Genomic DNA, 22,364 nt, shown 5'->3' with positions numbered 1-22,364 from the left:
TTTGACTAGTTTTGCCTGTTTTCAAACTTTATGTAATCAAAATTGTGTGTGTATGGTTTCTTTCTTTCAGCATTTCTTTCAATATTTGTGGACTTCATTTTTTGTTGATTTCATATTGTTTCATTGTGTGAGTATAACACTATCCATTGTACTATTGATGGACACATAGGCTATTTCCAGTTTTTGACTAATGCAAGTAAGTACTGCTATGAACATATTTGCACGTCCTCTGGTTTAAATATATATGTTTCTCTAGGTATGTAACATGGAGTGAAACTAATGGGTCATGGGTTCTGTGTATGTTCAGCTTTAGGAGAGTCTGCTGAAAAGTTTTAAGTATCTTTTTTTCACTTTCCACTACTACCAGCAGTACATGTAAGTTCCAATTGGTCACTTCTTTTTGACATCTTCCTCTGTTTTCAATAGGACTTTGTACCCCAGTATAGTACTTGTTTGAGTCTACCTAATCAGTTACAAGTATCTCTTTCCTATAATGTTATTAACTCTTTGAGGTGGGATTTCTTGTTTTGTCTTTCTCCTCTTAGTATCGAGTACAGGCCTAGAACACGTAGTAAATGCTCCGTGAAAGTTGCGTGAAAAGATGAATCGTGAGTATGTCTGTGGGTGGGAATTATCTTGGCATTTTTTAGAACAGAGAACTCACTGGTCTGACTGGAATTAGAAGTGATGGGAACAATGGGTGATAGGATTGAATTAAGTCAGGTGAAATCTGATTCAGGAGGTAATAGGTAGCCCTGTTTAGTTCCTGAACTGCGAGAGAGTTAATGAAAGCTGTTTTGTTCTGTGAGTGAAGAATTGTGTTTTTGTTACAGGTGTGTCCAGCTGTTAGGAAATAGTTACAAAAAAGATTTGGGCCCATGATTGGAGACAAGATTAGACAAGGCATGAGTGGGTGTGAATTTGGTTAGCTTAATCTCTTAGTTTTTAGTTTCTTTATAAAATGGGGCTCCACCTTGTAAAGATTAGAGCTAATATATAAATATGAGTAGATGTTTTCTTTTTTATTCACTGTGTATTTTGTTTTGTGGCATTTGAATTTTGTGGAACTCGGAATTTTGAAACATGTTGTGAAGTGTAATTCTGCCAGTGTAAATCCATGTGGAATTTTTCTAACTATAGCATCTCTGGAGCACCTTGCGTACTCTTCTTTGCTTCTACTTTGTTGCTCTACTCTAGCACCTTTGGTTCTGCCTGTGTCAGAAGTAAAAAATAAACCATTAATAAAGTGGCTTCTTGCCTCTGAGAGCTTATCCCGCAAAGAAATGTTGAACTGTTCCCTGTAATTTCTGTTAATTATAAAGCACATATATGAATATAAATAAATACTAAGAATCAAGATTTTTAGTGGAAGAGGAAAAAAATCCAAGAGGTTCATAAAAAAAAATTGTAACGTTGAATTGGAATTATCTATATGAACTCATGCTTTTGTGTTTCTTTTTTCCAATTTTGCTTCACATTTAATAATAATGTTTTGAGCTCATAATGTCTAGATATTACCTGATTGTTGAACATTAGTATGAAGAGATCTCCCTGAAACAGTGGTACTATATTATTATTTTAAAAACTAATGTATTTCTTTAACTGGAGAGTTTTAGATTGACATAAAAATTGAGCATGTAATACAAAAAGTTTTCATATCATTCTATCCCCTCACTCCCACCTCATAATTCCACCTATTTTTAACATCTTACATTACTGTTGGCACGTTTGCTAAAATTAATGAGCAAATATTGATATGTTATTATTTAAAGTATAATTTGCATAATGTTCATTCTGTTATACAGTTCTGTGAATTTTGAAATATTTATAATGTTATGGTTACCATTATGGTCTCATAAAGAATACTTTCATGCTTTAAAAATCCCGTTTCCACTTATTAACCTCTGTCCTCTTTCTCCAGAAATCTTGGCAACTATTGATATTTTTATTGTCTTTAGTTCTGCCCTTTCTGGAATGTCATATAGTTGGAATAATATATTACATAGCTTTTTTTAGATGAGCTCATTTTTATCTATCTATCTATCTATCTATCTATCTATCTATCTATCTATCTATCATCTATCTATCTGAGCTTCCTTCATGTCTTTTTTATGCTTTGATGGTGAACTCCATTAAATCACTGAATAATATTGCTATCATTTGCCTTTTTTTTTTGGTATTCACCTCGAAAGACATCTTTTTTGCTTCCAGTTCTGATGATTATAAATAAAGCTGTCATAAACGTTCCTGTGCAGGTCAACTGGGTAAATACTTAAGCACAATTTTTGGATCATATTGTAAAAGTAGATTGTGATTCCTAAAATTTGGTAGATTTCATAAGAGAAACTATCTGGGTTTGGTGCCTTCTCCTTTTGGAATATTCTTAATGTTAATTCAACTTCTTTAAGAGGCATAGGCTTATTCTGATGATCTGTGTTTCTACTGTGACCTTCGGAAGAGTATGCCTTTCCAAGGAATTGATACATTTTACTGAGGTTATCGATCAGTGGCCGTAGAATTGTTCATAGTACTCCTTGATTATCTTTTTAATTCCCAACAGTTTAGTATAGGTGGCTCCTCTTTTATTTCTGATATTAGTAATTTGTTGAACTCATGGTTTTAAAAATATTTACTTGCTCTATTGACTGAAAGGGCCTAAAAGCAATGGCAGCCAGCAGAGATGAGCATATCTAGTGCCCATATATTGTTTTTTTAATACCATTTGCCACTAAAAGGAACCTCGGAGAAGTGGCTGATTCCAGGTGTGGGACCAGAAGAGTGCTGTCTAAGTCTGGAACATCTTGTGTCAAAAAGCAAGGGAGCTGTGAAAGGCTCGGGGCACATGTCTGAAGAACACAGGAACTCACTTGTAAAGGCTACCACAGGCCAAATTTGAGACAACTTGAACATTACAAAATGGTAATAGACATTGAGTGGAAAAAAAAAAAAGAAAACACTGCCATGATTTCATAGTGAGAAAGAGAAGGAAAGAGCGAGGAGAGGGGTAGGAAGGGAGGTGAAGAGAAAGAGAGAAAAGCGAAATCTTCTTTGCAGAAGATTGCCAGGTGATAAATGTAAAAGGAATTATATAATGAGAAAATCACCTTTTTGTATACCCCACATAATAATCTGGTTCAGGTAAGGACGATCACTGGATGCCATAACTATTAGGTGAAAGACTGTTGGGAGAAGAAAATATTTACACAGTCTCAAAGTATCACTTTACAGGTTACTTTCTACTTAATAAAGGGAAAATAATTTTACAATATAGAGATCTGTCATTCACCACCTTAATGAAGTGACTAAAACTTAAGATCAAGGAGCTGGTATCAAGTACCCCCTGACTTGATGCAGTAAGAGCTATGCACCATCACCTTTGTTTAAATCATTGCCGGAAATGAAGAAACAATCAGAGAAATCAGAATGTGGAGCGTTCTTTAAAACCCTTGGTCTGGATTCTTAAAAAAGACGCTGAAGTATTTATTTAGGGGTGAAGTCAAGATGTCTGCAACTTACTTTCAAATGGTTTCACAAAACACAGAGATACAGCAAATGTAGCAAAACGTTAACTATTGATGAACCTAAATGAAGAGTACACAAGTGTTAATTTTAATAGTCTTTTAATTTTCCTGTTTTCAAAGTGTAGATTTTTAACAGTTAATTGATAATAAAATATGACTCTGAAGGGTCTTAAGAGATCTTCTAATCCAACCCCTTGTTTTTACAAATGAGGAAAGTGCGACCCAGGGAGACTTGTCTGAGGACACATCAGCTGGTTACTGATAGAGCGTGAAGAGCATGCCTATTCTGTCTTTTGCCACCACCCGTGGAGGATGTGAGTGGCAAGATGTGGGAGGAATGGCAAAGGGACAGAGAGAGGGTCTTTGGGAGGAAGGGCTCTCCGGAGTCATGGTAGGAAAGGGGCACCCCTTAGTAGGAGCATGTTGTGGGTCACAGCCACAGCCAAGATGAAGGAGATTATGACCTGAAACACAGGCAGGCCCGAGAGACCCAACGCTTCACCCAGCTTAGCTCCTCCTTTTCTCTTTTTAAAAATTCTTTGTTGTTTTCTTTCTCTAATTATTCTTTCCACTACCTTAAAAAAAATCTCTATAAACAAAAAACAAACGTCTCTATTTTATTGTCAGTTGGTCATTTTGCTTTTTCCACCAAGAATTAACGTGATGTCATGGAAATAATATAAATTTTGGAGCTAGATAGACCTGATTTCAAATTCCAATCCTGCGTACTAGCTCTGCAACTTGGAAGTCACTTAACCCTGCTAAGTCTTGGTTTCTTCATTTTTGACAAGTTATTTCTTCCTACTTTGAAAGGAAGTGGCATTGTACTGGGGCATTTTAAAAAATAAATCATGTTTTCTCCTCAGTTATTTGGAGGTTAGTTATACAGTCCTGTTAGTGGGTTTCTTAAAAAAATACAGTGATACATTGTTGACTTGTTGGAGTCTATTGTTAATTGGTAACTGGTAGTACTGACAATGTCTGCATCTTAGAATACTTTAACTTCCTTTACCCTGTTCTCCACCTACATGCCATTTTAGTTGTTTACATTATTGTATACATTTAAGCCCACAAGTTTAGTCATTCACCGCACAATGAAGTTTCAATGACAGACTGCTTGTACAATGTACAGTGGTCCCATGAGATTATATCATATTTTTACTGTACTTTTTCTGTGTGTGGATACATTTAGATTGTGTTACAGTTGCCTACAACCGTATTTGGTAGAATAACTTGCTGTACAGGTTTGTAGCCTAGAAGCAATAGGCTATAATAACCTAGGTGTATAGAAGGCCATAACATCTAGGTTTGTGTAAGTACACTTTATGATGTCACACAATGATGAAATTGCCTAGTGACACATTTCTTAGGTTGTATCACTTTTGTTAAGAAATGCATCACTGTATTAAATAATATTTGTCATTTTAAAAATAATGTTATAACTGTTCATATTCACTTAGATTTACCCATATGCTTACCTCTTTATTTGCTCTTTTTCCATCTGAATCTCTAATTTTTTATCTGTAATAATTTTCTTTCTGCCTGAAGAATACCCTTTAGAATTTCTTTTAATACAGGTTTACCTGTGGCATACTCTGTTTTTGTTTATCAGAAAGTTCATTTGTTTGCATTCATTCCTGAAGGCTGTGTATTTACTAGATATAGAATTGTGTATTGGCAGTTATTTTCTTTAAGCACGGGGAAGCTCCCATTCTGGATCCATTGTTAATATTGAGAGCTGGCAGTGTGTCCCTCCTTTGAAGGTAATTGTCTTTTTTCTCTCATTTAAATTTTGTAGCAACTCTGTGAAATACAGGTTTTATTGTTGTTAGTACAGATGAGAATAAAAACTCTGGATAACTTGTCCCTTTCACACAGCTAGAAAATAGTGGATTTAAATCCAAGTCTGTGAGACATCAAAGCCTATACTTTCCCCACTTTGCCTTACTGCGTCTCGCTAAATAAAAGTACACGTTCATCAATTTAACAGTATTTATTGAGCTTCTCTTATATGTATAACTTTGCTATGAACTGAGGTGGATACTGGATTTTGGGACATAATTCTGGCCTTCAATTTATAGTTTGGAGAAAAGCATGTTGAAAACATTCAATTTGTAATATGAGGCAGTATGTGATTAATAGCTAAAATGGTGATAGCCTGTGGTAATTACTAAAAGAGTTTAATGCAAAGAGAATTTTACAATTGGCTGGATATGTCAGAGAATATCCTGTGAAGGAGGTGTGACTTGGTCTGAACCCCAGGCAGAGTTTGTGGGGGGTTGAAATCGTAGAGACTCTTTGGGTCGGGGGAAGTTACGTGAATAAAGGCATGGGGACTGAATGATGGATTTGGGGAATGGCAGCAAGGTTGATTTGGTTCTAGCTGAAGATTATAAATATTGTTGAAGATAAGGTTGTATGTGAGGTGGTGTGTCATTATGGAGATTGCAAACTCCTGTTCTCTGTCTTTTAGGGCATAGGGAGCCCTTGTAGAATGGTTTAGGGACGGGGTGATACAGTGATTATTTACAGGGCAAGAGCTTGGCTTGATTTTATCTTCCAACCTAAATCTCAATTATGACTTTGTCACTTCCTCATTTATATTGTGGGTTAGTTAAATTTTTCAGGCCTCTATTTCCTCATCCGTGAATTGGAAATAATAGTACTTCTTTTATAGGGTTGTTGCAAGGATAAATGAAATGATATATGCAGTGTACTTAGAACAGTAAGCGCTATGTAAATGTGAGGCATCATTTTATTATTATTGTTAGTGTTATTAAATTAGATTATGTATGTTAGTATTCACCCTGATGCCTGGCACATGGTTAATCATAATTCCAGTCACTAATAGAATATATATGGGATAATTAACCAAATTATATTTTCCCACCCCTGCACCTTATATAGGAAATTTATGTCCTTTAAAAGTCATATTTAGGCCGGGCGCGGTGGCTCACGCCTGTAATCCCAGCACTTTGGGAGGCCGAGGCGGGTGGATCATGAGGTCAGGAGATCGAGACCATCCTGGCTAACAAGGTGAAACCCCGTCTCTACTAAAAATACAAAAAATTAGCCGGGCGCGGTGGCGGGCGCCTGTAGTCCCAGCTACTCGGGAGGCTGAGGCAGGAGAATGGCGTGAACCCGGGAGGCGGAGCTTGCAGTGAGCCGAGATTGCGCCACTGCAGTCCGCAGTCCGGCCTGGGCGACAGAGCGAGACTCCGTCTCAAAAAAAAAAAAAAAAAAAAAAAAAGTCATATTTAATGTATAAATAAGCTGTATAATTCATTTAGGTTATTTCCTCATTGCATTGTTTTTGATTACATGTTACATATCATTCCCAGTCCACTCCTCAGCTAACTCATTATAGTTATAAAAATAATGGTGAAGAACAGTGAAGAAAACATTCTATGCTAAGAATGTGTAGTAAGAAGAGAGAGAAGGAGGTAATATTAGTTAAATCTGTGATAAGACAGTATATCATAGACAGAAGCTGTGAAGATGCCATAGGAAAGATGTAGGAATTGTGCTGGGTCCTGAATTTAGAAACATTATCTATGGGCATTGTTTAATTTGATTTCTTTAGGAATTGTTTGTAGTGTGAGGATGCTAACTAAGCTTCCACCGTAACTATAAAGAATAAAAAACTGCCTTGTCTGTTAAAATTTTATTTGAAGAGAAATTGTATAAAGCCATTGAAATATCTGGACTGACAAGCTAGAAATGCATTTAAGTGAAGGCTCATTAATCTTTAAGAAGTTGAAAAGCAAACGTATGTGGCAGAGAAGCCAGTGTGGATTTGCAATACTGAATGCCAGCATCTTCAAATATTGTCAGTAAAGGACAGTGGGAAATAAGAATGGACACCACTTATATGTTTAAGTTTAAAATAGTTCAGCATTATATCAAATGCCTTTATTGAAAATAACCTAACTAGTAGCTAATTATAGTTTTAAGGGAGGTTTAACTTTATCTGGTGACTGTTTGCATTGATTAGAATGATTTCACAAGAGAATATGCCTTTAAGTGGACATGCTTTTAATTTCGGAGGAAGTAAACACATGGTGCTGTTCTTAGGTTGTATTTCAGATCTTCTGTGGTCTAATTGGCAATGATTTTTACCTTGTTTTCACTGACAACTTAGAAAAGACATTCTTTAAATACTGTCTCATTATTTTTCCCATTTCTTTTTCACATTCTTTGTGTTTCTTATAAATTGGCAAGGGAGTATCTTTGCATATGGTTTGTTATTCTTGGAATAAGATGCTTTTTTTTCTTTCTGGTCTTGTTTTCCTAACCTTTAACCATCCTGTTAACAGATGGTTAGATTATCCTTCTACTCTATCATTTTGAGTAACTTTGTTTTGAAAAAGCCCAACTTCTAACAGTGACTTAAATTTTTACAAGATAGTATCAGTAACTCATTCATTATGGCAGCTTTGATTCTTGAGGTTCCTTTTATCTTTCGGGTTGAGTTTGTATTTATATGTAATACTAAATGGGAAGCCTGACTTTAAGTTATTGGGTGATTATTTCTTCCTGACATCGGAACTCAATTTTTAGTTGATTCATAGCACCTTGAGAAGCAGATAAGGCAGGTATCTTTTACTTGAGGGCACTTAAAATTGTAGAGAACCATAGGTTTTGGCACCTAACAGACTTGGATTTAAATTGTAGATTTTCCCTTGTGTACCTTTGGACAAGTGACTTAACTGAGTTTCAGTTTGTAAACCTTAAAATAGAGACTGATTGTATCACATTTACCTTGTAGAGTTGATGTGAATATTAACTGAGGTAATTAATGCAAAGTGTCCTGTACACTCTATGGAACATGGGAGATAAAAAATGAAGGCTCACTTGCCAAGGTAATCAGTTTTACAAGATGGGACATGTAATTGTACATGATATCGTAGCAGTGTTTGCTATTTATATGGGTAGTTCCCTTTATCTGAGAATAAAGCATCTTTAGAATGAATCGTGGTCAGGACCTCAGTTCAAGTACACTCTGATAAGCTTGGATTTGCTTCTCAGTGACTAAAGGGTAGTAAGCACAGCAGCTGTGGTCACGACATATATTTGCATGGAGCATGATAGACATTTCTATGGCAAGACTGTCTGTTGTAAATTATGAGCCTAGCTGTGCTCCAACTATAAAGAATGATGAGGAGTTGCACGTATTCCCACCCTGAAGTACCAGGAATTATAATTGAGTCATCAATCATTTATTCATTTGATTATTCGCTTGACAACTATTTGAGAGCTTACTATCTAGGCATTGTGATATATACTAGGGGTATACAGCCAAGAGCAAAACACAGTATCTGCCTTCTAGGAACATGTAGTTACAGAGCTGGTAAGTGGTAAAACATAGGGCAAAACTAGTGCAGTGTGAGATATGGGAGGTCTTCTTCATTCAGTCCATGCCAGGCAAAGGATTAGGAAGGGGGTAGCGGTACAGGTCAAGATGAGAGGACGCTTCCTGTGGGAGAAGGCACTGTCTTAAGTTGAATGCAGAATAAGGGTGGAGGGTTTAAGATGTTAAGGATGGTATTTTGAAAAATTTCATTCCAAGGGTTAAACATCTTATTTCTGTGAGTAGGTTACAGAGTAAGCATGGTTGAGTCTAATTTTCAGCAGAGGAGTGGGAAATGAGATGTCCGAAATCTTTCTTTCACTGTTATCAGACATTAGGAGTAGACCTAACTTTGTGCTTTGGAAATATAAGAATCCAGAATCGAACTTGGAAGCTGAGGGCCTTCTTGTTCGTAGAATTTTAGAATGTTACCAACACTGTATTTATTGAATTTATTTATTTTATTTTTTTGAGATGGAGTTTCGCTCTTGTCTCCCAGGCTGGAGTGCAATGGCACGATCTCAGCTCACTGCAACTCCGCCTCCTGGGTTCAAACGATTCTCCTGCCTCTGCCTCCCCTGTATCTAGGATTATAGGCACGCATCACCACACCCGGCTAATTTTTATATTTTTAGTAGAGACAGGGTTTCACCATGTTGGCCAGGCTGGTCTCAAACTCCTGACCTCAGGTAATTTGGCCTCCCAAATTTTTGGGATTACAGGCATGAGCCACCATGCCTGGCCTTATTGAATTTTTATAATTTGTATACAATAAATATTTGTTAACTGAATAGTAAATGAGATTGGCATGGCTCTGGTTCTTACCCTAACCCCAGCTTTAAGAATTAAGATCAGAGTGGCTGTAATGATTGGGTGAGCTATGTAAGTAATGGGCTTCAGGCTGGGCACAGTGGCTCATGCCTATAATCCCAGAGCTTTGGGAGGCTGAGGCTGGAGAATCGCTTGAGCCCAGGAGTTGGAAACCAGCCTGGGCAACATAGCAAGAACGTGTCTCTACAATAAAACAGTTAGCCAGTGGTGCATGCCTGTAGTCTTAGCTACTTGGGAGGCTGAGGTGGGAGGATCGCTTGAGCCCAGGAGTTCGAGGTCGCAGTGAGCTATAATTGTGCCACTGCACTCCAACCTGGGTGACAGAGTAAGAGCCCATCTCTTTAAGAAAAAAAAAAAGAAAGAAATTGGGCTTTGGCATCAGGCACCTCCACTGACTTAGTTACATGCTTGCCTAAGACCATAACCCAGGAACAGTGGACTCACTATCCATACCAAGTGATTATTAACAAGAGGAGCAAAAATGTGGACACCAGAAACTATAATGCGAAGCAATCTATATGCCCAGAGACTAAAGTAAAATTTTGTTTTAAAAAATCAGCCAGGATTTTGTACATATATATACACCCACACACATATAAACACGTGCATAAATGTCAAGATTCATAATACTGAGATTTTCATATTTGTTCATTCATATCTGTATGAATATAGTATAGGTAGGTACAGTTGTCTGAGAGGAAATAAAACTTGTTTTGAGAACAAAGAGGAGGGAGAATTAATGTTACACTTGGGATGGGATGAGGGAAGGCTTTCTGGAGAGGTAGCATTTGACCTGACTCTTTCAAGAGAGGGATGGTCTGTTTTGCAGAACCTTTATTAGCATAATGAGTCATGAGGAGTCCCAGCTCTGTAGACAGGTGGTCTGATTCTTTCTTTTATTTTCTTAATTTTTAATAAAAAATTTTTATTTCCATAGGTTTTTGGGGAACAGGTGGTATTTGGATATATGAGTAAATTCTTTACCTGTGATTTGTGAGATTTTGGTGCACCCATCACCCAAGCAGTGTACACTGAACCTGATTTATAGTCTTTTATCCCTCACCACCCATCATTCTTATGCCTTTGCATCCCCATAGCTTAGCTCCCTCTTATTAGTGAGAACATACGATGTTTGGTTTTCCATTCCTGAGTTACTTCACTTAGAATAATGGTCTCCAGTACCATCCAGGTTGTTGAGAATGTCATTCATTCCTTTTTGGGGCTGAGTACTGTTCCATTTTGTGTGTGTGTGTGTGTGTGTGTGTGTGTGTGTGTGTGTATACATATATATATATATACACCACACTTTATCCACTCATTGATTGATGGGCATTTGGGCTGGTACACATTTTTGCAATTTTGTGAATTGTGCTGCTGTAAACATGCATGTACAAGTATCTTTTTCATATAATGACTTCTTTTCCTCTGGGTTGATACCCAGTAGTACGATTGTTGGATCAAACGGTAGTTCTACTTTTAGTGATTCTTTTTTTTTTTTTTTTTGAGATGGAGTCTCGCTTTGTCACGCTGGCTGGAGTACAGTGGCGCAATCTCGGCTCACTGCAATCTCCGCCTCCCAGGTTCAAGCAATTCTGCCTCGGCTTCCTGAGTAGCTGGGACTACAGGTGCGCACCACCATGCCTGGCTAATTTTTGTATTTTTAGTAGCGTCGGGGTTTCACCATGTTGGCCAGGCTGGTCTCGAACTCCTGACCTCAGGTGATCCACCCGCCTTGGCTCCTAAAGTGCTGGAATTACAGGTATGAGCCACTGTGACTGGCCGCAGGTGGTCTGATTCTAGTCCTGGCTCTGTCGCAGACTAGCTGCTTGATCTCAGGTAAGTCACTTCATTCCTCTAAACTATTGTTTCCTCTGTCCAGTTGGTATAATCATATTCTCCACAGATGGTTTTTGAGGATTAAATGAAGTAATTCATGTAAAAGATGTAGCTGAGTATTTGGGCATTATTACTGTTAGGGTTTTGTGGGTAGGCTTTTTGAAGCTGAATTTAGTCGATTCTGTTCTCCTGCCTTAATAAAGTTATCAAGTTTCGAAAAACGAACCTGGTGGCTGTACTTTTCCATTTATCAGTTACACATTCTGAATAACTGAGATTTTGTCAGGATTCTTCTTGAATTGGAGAATTTGTTGCATACTGAGAAAACACCAGTCACAAGTTCATGGCGTTATATTGCTGTCCCTTGAGTTTCAGTACGCTGATTAGGTTGGAAGGGTAATCTTCCCTGCTTATATAAGACTGTGCTTTTCAAACTACTACCATGACTGTTAGTAAATGAACCTTCATTGCGGCCTTGGGAGCACATAGGTGGGTGATGATTATTTTTCAGGAAACAGAATTTACAGAGCCAGGGAAAAGCCTTTATGGCTGAGTGGCCATTTCAACACTATAGCCCTGGTCTCCTGACATAGTTCTATTTTTTTATTTAATTTTCTTTGAAGTCTAGTCATCAGACCTGAATTTGCACTTAATCTCTGCCATTTACTAGTTGCATGATCTTGTGAGAGTTTTAAAATTTATGAGTCTGGCCCTTTTATCTGTGAAATACTGAGATTTTGAACCACACAGGAATGTCTGTGATGCAGAATTTACTTTGCTTAATTTTTAATAAGAATTGCTTTGTATAACGCTGTATGGGAATGCGTATTTGTGTATTTAAGACTCAAATTTATTCACTTATTGGTGTCTTGCCTGGTAGGAAATGTCTCTATTTCTAGATTGTCTTCAATGTTCTTATCCTGCTTATCTGTGGATAATATTCTTGATAGTCATGTGAAGGATCTATCTTGGGAAAGCCAAGGACATCTGGGAATGTTTGACAGGTGAATAACAACTAAATAACTGAATCGACTTCTCACATCATTGCTGGCGTTGCTTGTTCTTTCCTCCTTTTCTGTCTCTTTTTTGGCTAGGGAGGGGCGTTGGGGGTGTCAGTATTATCCAAATAGTTGGATAGTTTAAAACCTTGCAGCTAATAAATATACGAATTTTAGTAGTTTGAAGTTTGTTTTCCACTGGAAATTCAGGCAAGAGATCCATTTTACATATGAAAATCATTCGACAAATGCTTATCAATTATTAATATATACTGTTTTCCTCATGAACCCGTGTCAGAGGTAGGTGAATATAAAGTTCTGTGAGTACCGTATTGGAAATGACAAAATGCGGTAATTGAAACTCACTAGAACAAATTCTTTTTATAGTCTTACCTTCCCCTGAAGTGTTAAATGTATACACGTGCATTTATTTATTAAGTGGCTGAGTTGTTAGGAAAATCCTAATGTTGAGTTTTCTAATAACTGAAAAAAATCCGTATTAAGGAAGAAGTTTTGCATTTTACTTTTCTTATTCAGAGCAAAAGGTTGGGAAAAATACTAAGGTTGACTTGAAAGTGTCATTCAGGAGTAAGAAGGTTCTTTTTGAGTTAGTGTCTATATTTTAGGGGTTAGGTGAGAAGTCATCTTGTAAAAAGCAAGATTATTTTCTATAGATTATGGAAGTTTTTGTTCTCTTTCTAGTATGTAGCAAACTGAGTACTTACTCAGTTGCAGTTTTATTAATACTGTTATATTGGATATACCATGAGTCAAATTATAGTCTGTGAATTATACTCATATGTGATAAGTTAGGAGGACACTATATTAGCAATTCAATATTTTAAAGTTATCCATATTAGGAAAATAGTATAACAACTCTTTATAGTTGAACCGATTTGGCCTAAATTTAAAAAATTATACTTCAGTCAGGAAGACCAAAACTTAATTTAGTAAAAATTTAATATAGGCTGAGAAGCTTTTTAAAGAATTGGTTATAATGTGCACAGAATTAGATAATGGATTAGTCATAGTCCTTGTTTATGACATAGTTTCATTGGCCTGCAATAAGCACTTGTTTATCCACCATTGGGGAAAAAAAAGGTAGGTACTTATTATAATAACCTATATGTGACTTCCAGGTTTCCCCAACCATCCTATCCCCATGGCTTCCTCGACAGAATTCAAACCTGAATTTTGTATTCACCCTCTTTCTGTTTTTATTTGTCTTTATCACATCTTTATGGATTCTTAGAAGGAATACTTTTTTATTTTGGTTTATTTTTTATAAAAAGGTTATTCTATGATGTAATCATTTGGAACTTATTGTTTTTACTTAATGTAATGCTAAAATTTATTCATAATGTTGCATGTCATTGTAGTTCATTCACTTTGTCGAATAATCTATTATCTTAATGTACATAGTTTAATTCATTTACCTGTGAATGGACGTTTTGCATGTTTTCCAGGTTTTTGCTGTTGTGAACAGTCTTGCTATGAACATTCTAATATGTGTCTGTTGTTTGTACATGTGTGAGTTTCTCTTAGTGTATACCTAGGAGTAAAATCCCTGCATAATAGGTTATGGGACTTCAATTTGTGGAAGACTGAACATTTTTTCCTACCATCAATACATAAAAAGCCATTGTGGGTCCACATTTTTTCCAGTTCTTGGTATTTTTAGATTTCTGGTGTTTTTGGAGCTTGAATAGATGTAAAATGGTATTTCATTTTTATTGCATTTGGTTGATCTTTTTTTTTTTTTGAAACGGATTCTTGCTCTGTTGCCCAGGCTAGAGTGCAGTGGCACGATCTTGGCTCACTGCAGCCTCCGTCTCCCAGGTTCAAGCGATTCTCATACCTCAGCCTACTGAGTAGCTGGGATTACAGGCGACTGCCACCGCACCCAGCTAATTTTTGTGTATTTTTAGTAGAGACGGGGTTTCACCATCTTGGTCAGGCTGGTCTTGAACTCCTGACCTCGTGATCCACCTCAGCCTCCCAAAGTGCTGGGATTACAGGCGTGAGCCACTGCGCCCGGCCTGCTTGATCATTTTTTATAATAATGTTTCTTCTATTTTTATTGGTTTTGTGTTTTACCTTCTGTGAAATGCTTGTTCTTGCCTTTTTTTTCTGTTTTTTTCTTATCCTACTCCTGGATTTTTTTTTTCTTTTCTTTTGGAATATAAAAAGACTTCTTTTTGTATTCTTGATGTTTATCTTTTGTTGGGTGTATGTATTCCAAAAATCTTGTTTGTAACTTGTCTTTTTACCATCTTTAGGGTGTTTTTTGATGACCAAAAGTTCTTGATTTTAATACTCAGATTTATTTTATGGTTATACTTTTGTGTCTTTAAGAAATAATTGACTTTTGTTTTTCTCATTTTCGATGCCCATATCTGTTAACTCTATAGTTGACACTTATTTAAAGGCTTGAGATTGCAGTGGTAGAATAGATGAAGAAGATAGTTTAAGAAAATGAAAGAACAGGAAGCATTTTCGAATATACCAATATATATAACTACAAATTGCTCATTCCCAACCACTGAATAGAAAATAAGCCTCTCTTAAAAGCTAGATTCACATTTGTTTTTTGAATACAAGTATCTGAATAAGGTTCACTGGTCTGCTACCATGACTTTTCCCTAAATTCTCAGCAGCCTATATGTTTCTTGAATGATTTACCCTTTCTCTGAACCTTGTTTATATATATGAATAAATTTGTGTGTGTGTGTATGGCAACCATTGATGAGAAAATGAGTATGACCAGTGTAATTTATCGAGACAAACTTATTATTTATTTTGAAAATTATTTTTATTACTGAGCTTGAAAATATTTCATTCTGCTTATCAACATTGTATGGTAAATACCTGTATCTCCTGTCACTTCCATGTATGCACTCTGTTCTCTAGCAGATTTGAAATCTGGAAACCTCCCTCATCAGCACACATGTGCACACATACATGCATACATACACCCCATACTCTTTTAGAGCCATCCTCTTTACATGTTGTTTCTGCGTTGGGAAAGTGTACATGGTGAACTTCTTGTGGTTTACTAAGAAGAATATGATTGTAGGCATCACAAAAATAACATATTGTGTAGTACTTTATCAAATGCTTTTACATTTTTACATTTAATTCTTACCACAAATCTATGTGATTAGGTGGGCAGGTTATCATCCCACTTTAGAGTGTATTGTTAATACTGAAGCCTTGAAGACATAAAGTCAAGTGCTTTCCTGGTATTTGTAGATGCTTAGTAAGTATTTGTTGGTTAGATGGATGAATAAATGGCTAGTTATGCTCACCCTGATGTTCTTTCGATTATACCATAGCATCATATTTAACTGTGCCCCAGCTGAGGTCTTGATATATAGTAGAAACTAGAATGTTTATTGACTAAGACTTCTAAGTATTATGGGTAACTAGTTCTAGACTAGCCTTCTTGCCATAAACAATTATGAAACTTAACAGAATATATGTGGGAAGATTTTCAGGCTTTGGGCAACAGGCTGCACAGGATTGTGATCTTGACATTTATGAGGAGAGCTCAGTGATTACTCCTGTTCTCTGCCTGAGGACAGTTTGCTGAGCTGGAATGCAAGCAGAGCATGTCACCTAACCATGTTGAGGAGGCAGAGGTTGGAGTTTGGTACACTTGAGACAGCTAAAGTGTTCGGGGAAGGGAACCAGACAAGAAGAAGCTGTACAAGAGAGGTTCCCAAATGTTTGTTTGTGAGTCTCTTGTGAATTCTTGTCAGAGTGTTGGGCTGTCCATGATGGGGAAAGACTGGAGGGTTTATCAGGTGGCTGCCACAGGATTGGCAGTGGAACAAATACTAGAAGTATGTGGCTAGGGGATGTTAAAACTTTGTCCCAGCCACAATTGAGAGACCTCCCAGGCATCTGGATGAAATGCAAGAAAGACCATGTGGTAAAGCTGGGGTAAGCAATACTGTTAAATCATAGCCATACTTATTCATGTATATGTTGTTTATGGATGCTTTTATACTACAATGGCAAATGTCAGCAGTTGCCACAGAGACTGTGTGGCCCACCAGTCTACAATATTTACTATTTTGCCCCTCCCCTTAAGAAAAAGTTTGCTGACTCCTGCACTAGAGTAAGTCCTACTCTAGGACCCTCTTAACAACAAACTGTGCGCTAGCTAAGGTCTGTAAGCAAATCCTGATGAAATCTGCGGAGAAAGCAGAACTTGGAGGCTGAGTTCTGCCAGGTTACAGGACTTGGGAAACATCCTGGGCTTTCCATAGATCTGTCCTAACAAAAGTATTACTGGAGTTAAAATTAGAATGTTTTGGGGCAGTATTACCTTCTTTGGTGCTTTTTGTAACCTTCGTTATAGTGACAGTGACTTTAGCCAGCACCCTCGAATACTTTGAATGTCTTGTTTACTCCCCTAGATAATTCTATGTTGGAATATGTCTCATTCCACTTAAAAAAAAAAAAAAAACTTACAGTCTTCTTTGATGGAGAACTTTCTTGTACCTTCTACTCAATATCAATATTTAGTTTACATTGAATACTTATTTTGCTAGTACCGGAAGGCTAAAACCAAAGCTAAAGTAGCTTCTTGCTAAAGAGGATCAAAGTTCCTTTTGTTTCTACGTATCTTACGTGTTCACATAATTTTAAAAATATTTTGAAATTAGAAATTGTTTAAAGCTTATAGACAAAAATAGAATATGATAAACAACTGTGTGTTCACCACAAATATCTCTCTCATATTCTAATGTTTTACCAAACTTGTTTCAGATTTTTTTCCTCTAAGAAATAGTAGCTCAGATATGTATTATGTGTATATCCCTCCCTGATGTGTTCTTTTTTTGAACTTTTTATTATACTTTAAGTTCTGGGATACATGTGCAGAACGTGCAGGTTTGTGAATAGGTATACACATGCCTTGGTGGTTTGCTGCACCCATCGACCCGTCATGTACATTAGGTATTTCTCCGAATGCTATCCCTCCCCTAGCCCCCGACCCCGCTTTCCTGATGTGTTCTAATCCTACTTTTCCCAAAGGTAACCACTCTCCTGAATTTTTTGTCATTACTTTGAATGTTTTTTATACTAAAAAAGTATGTCTGTATCTCTCTCCATAAATGATATGTAACATTATCTTATGTTTTTTCAAGCTTATATTCAGGGCATCACTTTGTTCATGCTATTCTGCAACTAGCTTTTTCCTCCAACTTTGTTTTTGACTTTAGACATGATGAAGTGGATCACTGTCATTCATAAACTGTGCAGTGTATATCTTTATTCTCTTGTTGATGGACATTTAGATTGCCAGTATTTTGTGATAATGCACAAAATCAGTGCTACAGTAAATGTTGGTGTTGTCTGTCTTATTGGGTTTCTGTGTTGAAGTTACTCTAGGTGCTGTAAATAGAAGTGGTATCATTGCTTATAGGGTATCCGCATCTTTGACGTTATCAGTTACTATTAAATTGCTCCTCGAGCTGTTTTTTTTATTCTTTTATAGTTTCACCTGCTTTGGTTTTATGCAATTAGACATAATGGACTTTCCAAAGCAGAAAATATGACATGAAAATCTCATTTTACCACAGAAAAACGGAAAGTTGGTTGATTAGATTCTTGATAAATTTGTTCATATTTAAAAAATCTTCTTGGCTGGGCGCGGTGGCTCATGCCTGTAATTCTAGCACTTTGGGAGGCCAAGGTGGGCGGATCACCTGAGGTCAGTAGTTCGAGACCAGCCTGACCAACATGGCGAAACCCCGTCTCTACTAAAAATACAAAATTAGCTGAGCGTGGTGGCGGGTGCCTGTAATTCCAGCTACTCAGGAGGCTGAGGCAGGAGAGTCACTTGGACCCGGGAGGCGGAGGTTGTGATGAGCCGAGATTGCGCTATTGCACTCCAGCCTGGGCAACCAGAGTGAAACCCGTGTCAAAAATAAAAAAAATAAAGAAAAAAAGAAAAAAAAATCTTATTATGGAAATGTTCAGACATAAACAAGTAGCAAGAACCCCAGTGAACCATAAAGAACCCCCTGTCATTCATTTTCAATACCTATCAACATATGGCCAATTGTATTTTACTTCCTTGCCCCTGCAACTGGATTATTTTTTTAAAATCCCAGATATCCACATTCATACATTCATCTGTAAGTAGTTTGGTATGTATCTCTAAAAGGTATGACTCCCCCATTCCAAAATGAAACTCACATAATGCCATTATTACACTCCAGAAGTAATCCCCAAATGTCAAATATTCAGTGTCCGAATTTCCCCAATTGTCTGTTTTTTAGCTTTATCTACGGTATTTAAAATATGATTACATTGCAAAACATACACTTTTAAGGAATAGTTTTAACTGATCTCATAGGAATGTACTTGCAGATTTCTCGTGTATCATAGAATCATATTCAGGTAGACTTAAAAAAGTAAAAAGTAATCTAGGTATAGTTCACCCCATTTCCTTATAAGCGATGGAATTGAGGCTCAGAATTGAGGTTTGTTCACAATTGGCGAACACGTTAGGAGTCGAGCCGGAACTGTAATACAGATCTTTTGACCCCAATCTATTGCTTTTATACCAATTACATTGGATGGCCTGTCTTAGATTCTTCTTTTGTCCGTTATCTCCAAATTACTTTTTCCAGTGGTTTTTCATAAATATCAGTAGTACTAATCTTGTGATTTACGTCAGGTTTTAAAAGGAGTTTGTGAAAGGGTTGAATTATAATATCAACACCTGAGCCAAAGATATTGAATTGTTCTGAAAAGCTACTTGTCTTTTCTGACCTAGATACACAGTTTCCAACTGTGGCAGAGGATGCCAGAAAGAGAAGAATGAATAGTAGCAAGAGCCTGGAAATTAAATTACTATATTACTGAAGGATCTAATGTACTTATTAATTTTTAGCACTTTTAAGTAGTATAAGATAATTTTCTTGTATGGACACAATATTGGTGAATCTATGTATTTCTTTTTGTAGGTTAAAACCTATTTATTTTGCTAAGCTGAATATTATTATTTTTGCTTGTTTCAAAATTGGTAATTTGTTAACATTACTGCTTGCTTATAACTGGATTGCAGATTCTAAGTTCGTTTTGCAAACTTACCTCATTAAGAGAAATAATCGTGTCCATTCTGTCTCCAGATATGGGTTTTGTTTTGTTTTGCCATGCTCTGTGGTACAGAATGGCAACAGAAGGTCTTTTGAGAATCAAAGACACTGTTTTAAGCTTGTTTACCAAGGTATTGGTTTACCCTTCAGTGTTAAGTGTGCTTCAGCAGACAGAGGAGGACAGAGAATATTTGAATTCTTTTTGTTTTTGAGACAGAGTTTTGCTCTTGTTGCCCAGCTGGAGTGCAGTGGTGCAAACTCGGCTCACTGCAACCTCTGCCTCCTAGGTTCAAACAATTCTCTTGCCTCAGCCTCTCAAGTAGCTGGGATTACAGGTGCCCGCCACCACACCCAGCTAATTTTTGTATTTTTAGTAGAGACGGAGTTTTGCCATGTTGGCCAGGCTGGTCTTGAACTCCTGACCTCGGGTGATCTGCCCACTTCGGCCTCCCAAAGTGCTGGGATTACAGGCGTGTGAGCTACCGTGCCTGGCCGAATATTTGAATTCTTTTTTTTTTTTCCTTTCTTTCTTTCTTTTTTTTTTTTTTTTTTGAGATGGAGTCCTGTTCTGTTGCCCAGGCTAGAGTGCAGTGGCGCAGTCTCGGCTCACTGCAACCTCTGCCTTCCGGGTTCACATCATTTTCCTGCCTCAGCCTCCCGAGTAGCTGGGACTACAGGCATCCGCCACCATGCCTGGCTAATTTTTTTTTTTCTGTATTTTTAGTAGAGACGGGGTTTTACTGTGTTAGCCAGGATGGTCTCGATCTCCTGACCTTGTGATCCACCCACTTCGGCCTCCCAAAGTGCTGGGATTACAGGTGTGAGCCACCATGCACAGCATATTTGAATTCTTAACTGTTTCTTGGCACATTACCCCTTTTTCCTTTTAGTCAGAATTGTCACAAAATCGGTAAATTCTAAAAATAGTCTGATGACCTCTATTACTCCCTTTTAGTTAGAAGAAAATAAATAGCTACGGAGTCATGTACTATTCTGGTGCTATTTCATGTTTGATCGTGGTTTAAAGGAATAGATGCCATCTTGAGCTTTTTAAAGATCACTGTGTGAAATCAAATATACACCTGCTCTTTGATTTGTTTGTGGAGACAGTGATGTGAATTGGAAAAGATGTTGGGGACCCCAATTCTAGGGTTAGTTCTGCAGTTACTTCACTGTGTGATCATAGACAAATCATTTAACATCTTTGTATATTTGTGCTTTCACAATTTAAAAGATTATTAAAAAATTTATCTGTTCTTTACTGCTTTTCAGGATCATGTGAGCATTGAATGTGATCCTGTATGAGAAAATATTTTGAGAAATTCGTTTGTGTTTCTCTTTTGTGCCAGACATTGTTTTAGGTGTGCAATGCAGAGTAAACAAAGACACCATCTGCCAATGGTAAATCCTATGCAGAAAAATAAAACAGATGTGCTTTGGGAGGGGCTGCTGTGAGAGAAGTTGCTTTTTTGTTTGTTTGTTTGTTTTGTTTTTTTGTTTTTTTGAGACAGAGTCTTGCTCTGTTGCCCAGGCTGGAGTGCAGTGGCGCGATCTTGGCTCACTGCAACCTCTGCCTCCTGGGTTCAAGCAGTTCTCCTGCCTCAGACTCCCGAGTAGCTAGGACTACAAGCGCCTGCCACCATGCCCGGCTAATTTTTGTAATTTTAGTAGAGACAGGGTTTCACCATATTGGTCAGGCTGGTCATGAACTCCTGACATCAGGTGATGCACCTGCCTCAGCCTCCCAAAGTGCTGGGATTACAGGTGTGAGCCACCGCGCCTGGCCGAGGTCGCTATTTTACATAGGGTGGTCAGAGATAGGCTCATAAGATGACATTTGAGCAGACACCTAAGAAGTGAGAGAAGGGGTGATGTGGATATTGGGGGCAAACTAGCAAGTGGAAAGGCTCTGAGGTGGGAACGTCAGCAAGGATACTATTGTGAGTAGAGCACAGTGAGTGAGGAATAGTGATAGAGGTTGAGGCCAAGAAGTTAACGGGAATCAGATTATTAGGGCCTTATAGCCTTAATTATTGTGAAGTATTTACTCAGAGACAGGAAACTATTAGAAGGTTTTGAGCAGAGGAATGCTGTTACGTAATTTAGATTCTTTTTTTTTTTTCTTTTTTAGGGATGGGATCTTGCTGTGTTACCCAGGCTGGCATGCAATGGAGTGATCATAGCTCACGGCAGCCTCAAACTTCCGGGCTCAAGTGATCCTCCTGCCTCAGCCTCCCAAGTAGTTAGGACTGAAGGCACACGCCACCATGCCTGCCTAAATTTTTTGTAGAGAGAGGGTCTTGTTATATTGCCCAGGCTGTCTTGAACTCCTGGCCTCAAGCAGTCCTCCCATCTTAGCCTCCCAAAGTATTAGGATTACAGGTGTGAGTCACCATGCCTGGATGCTAATGTAGATTAGCAGGAATACTCTGGATGCTGTTGCTGAGAATAAACTCTGGGGAAGGGTTTATTTTCAGGTGGGGAAGTAAGATAACTAGTTGGAAGGCAATGTATAATCCAAGTGAGAGATGGTGGTTGCTCTGACCAGGTTGGTTATGGTGGACGTGGTTAAAAGTCATCAGATTTTATTTTATTTTTATTTTTTAGATTTTTAAATTTTAATTTTCAGTTTTTTAAGGGTAGATAGTAGGTGTATATATTTATGGAGTAGGTGTGATGTTCTGATAGGCATACAATGGATAACAATCACATT

The 22,364-nt window shown here is 37.5% G+C and overlaps 1 protein-coding gene across 10 annotated transcripts in view; it reads left to right on the top strand.

Annotated features, from left to right (window-relative positions):
- Positions 1 to 22,364, top strand: part of STRBP (spermatid perinuclear RNA binding protein) — a 159,093-nt gene that overhangs the window by 43,460 nt on the left and 93,269 nt on the right. The window contains exons 2-3 of one of the 10 annotated variants that reach the window (NM_001376107.1): positions 11,209 to 11,538; positions 12,419 to 12,542. The exons of 8 other annotated variants lie outside the window; for them this stretch is intronic. The gene's annotated coding sequence lies outside the window, so the exon portion shown is untranslated. Of the gene's footprint in view, positions 1 to 11,208; positions 11,539 to 12,418; positions 12,543 to 22,364 lie in introns of those variants that run through there. One more of the 10 variants, XM_047423562.1, reaches the window with a different exon arrangement.

The sequence above is a fragment of the Homo sapiens genome, chromosome 9 (assembly GCF_000001405.40).
Source record: "Homo sapiens chromosome 9, GRCh38.p14 Primary Assembly".
NCBI classification, from domain to species: domain Eukaryota; kingdom Metazoa; phylum Chordata; class Mammalia; order Primates; family Hominidae; genus Homo; species Homo sapiens.
The sequence above is the reverse complement of the archived record's forward strand: the minus strand, read 5'-3'. Positions and strand labels throughout refer to the sequence as shown.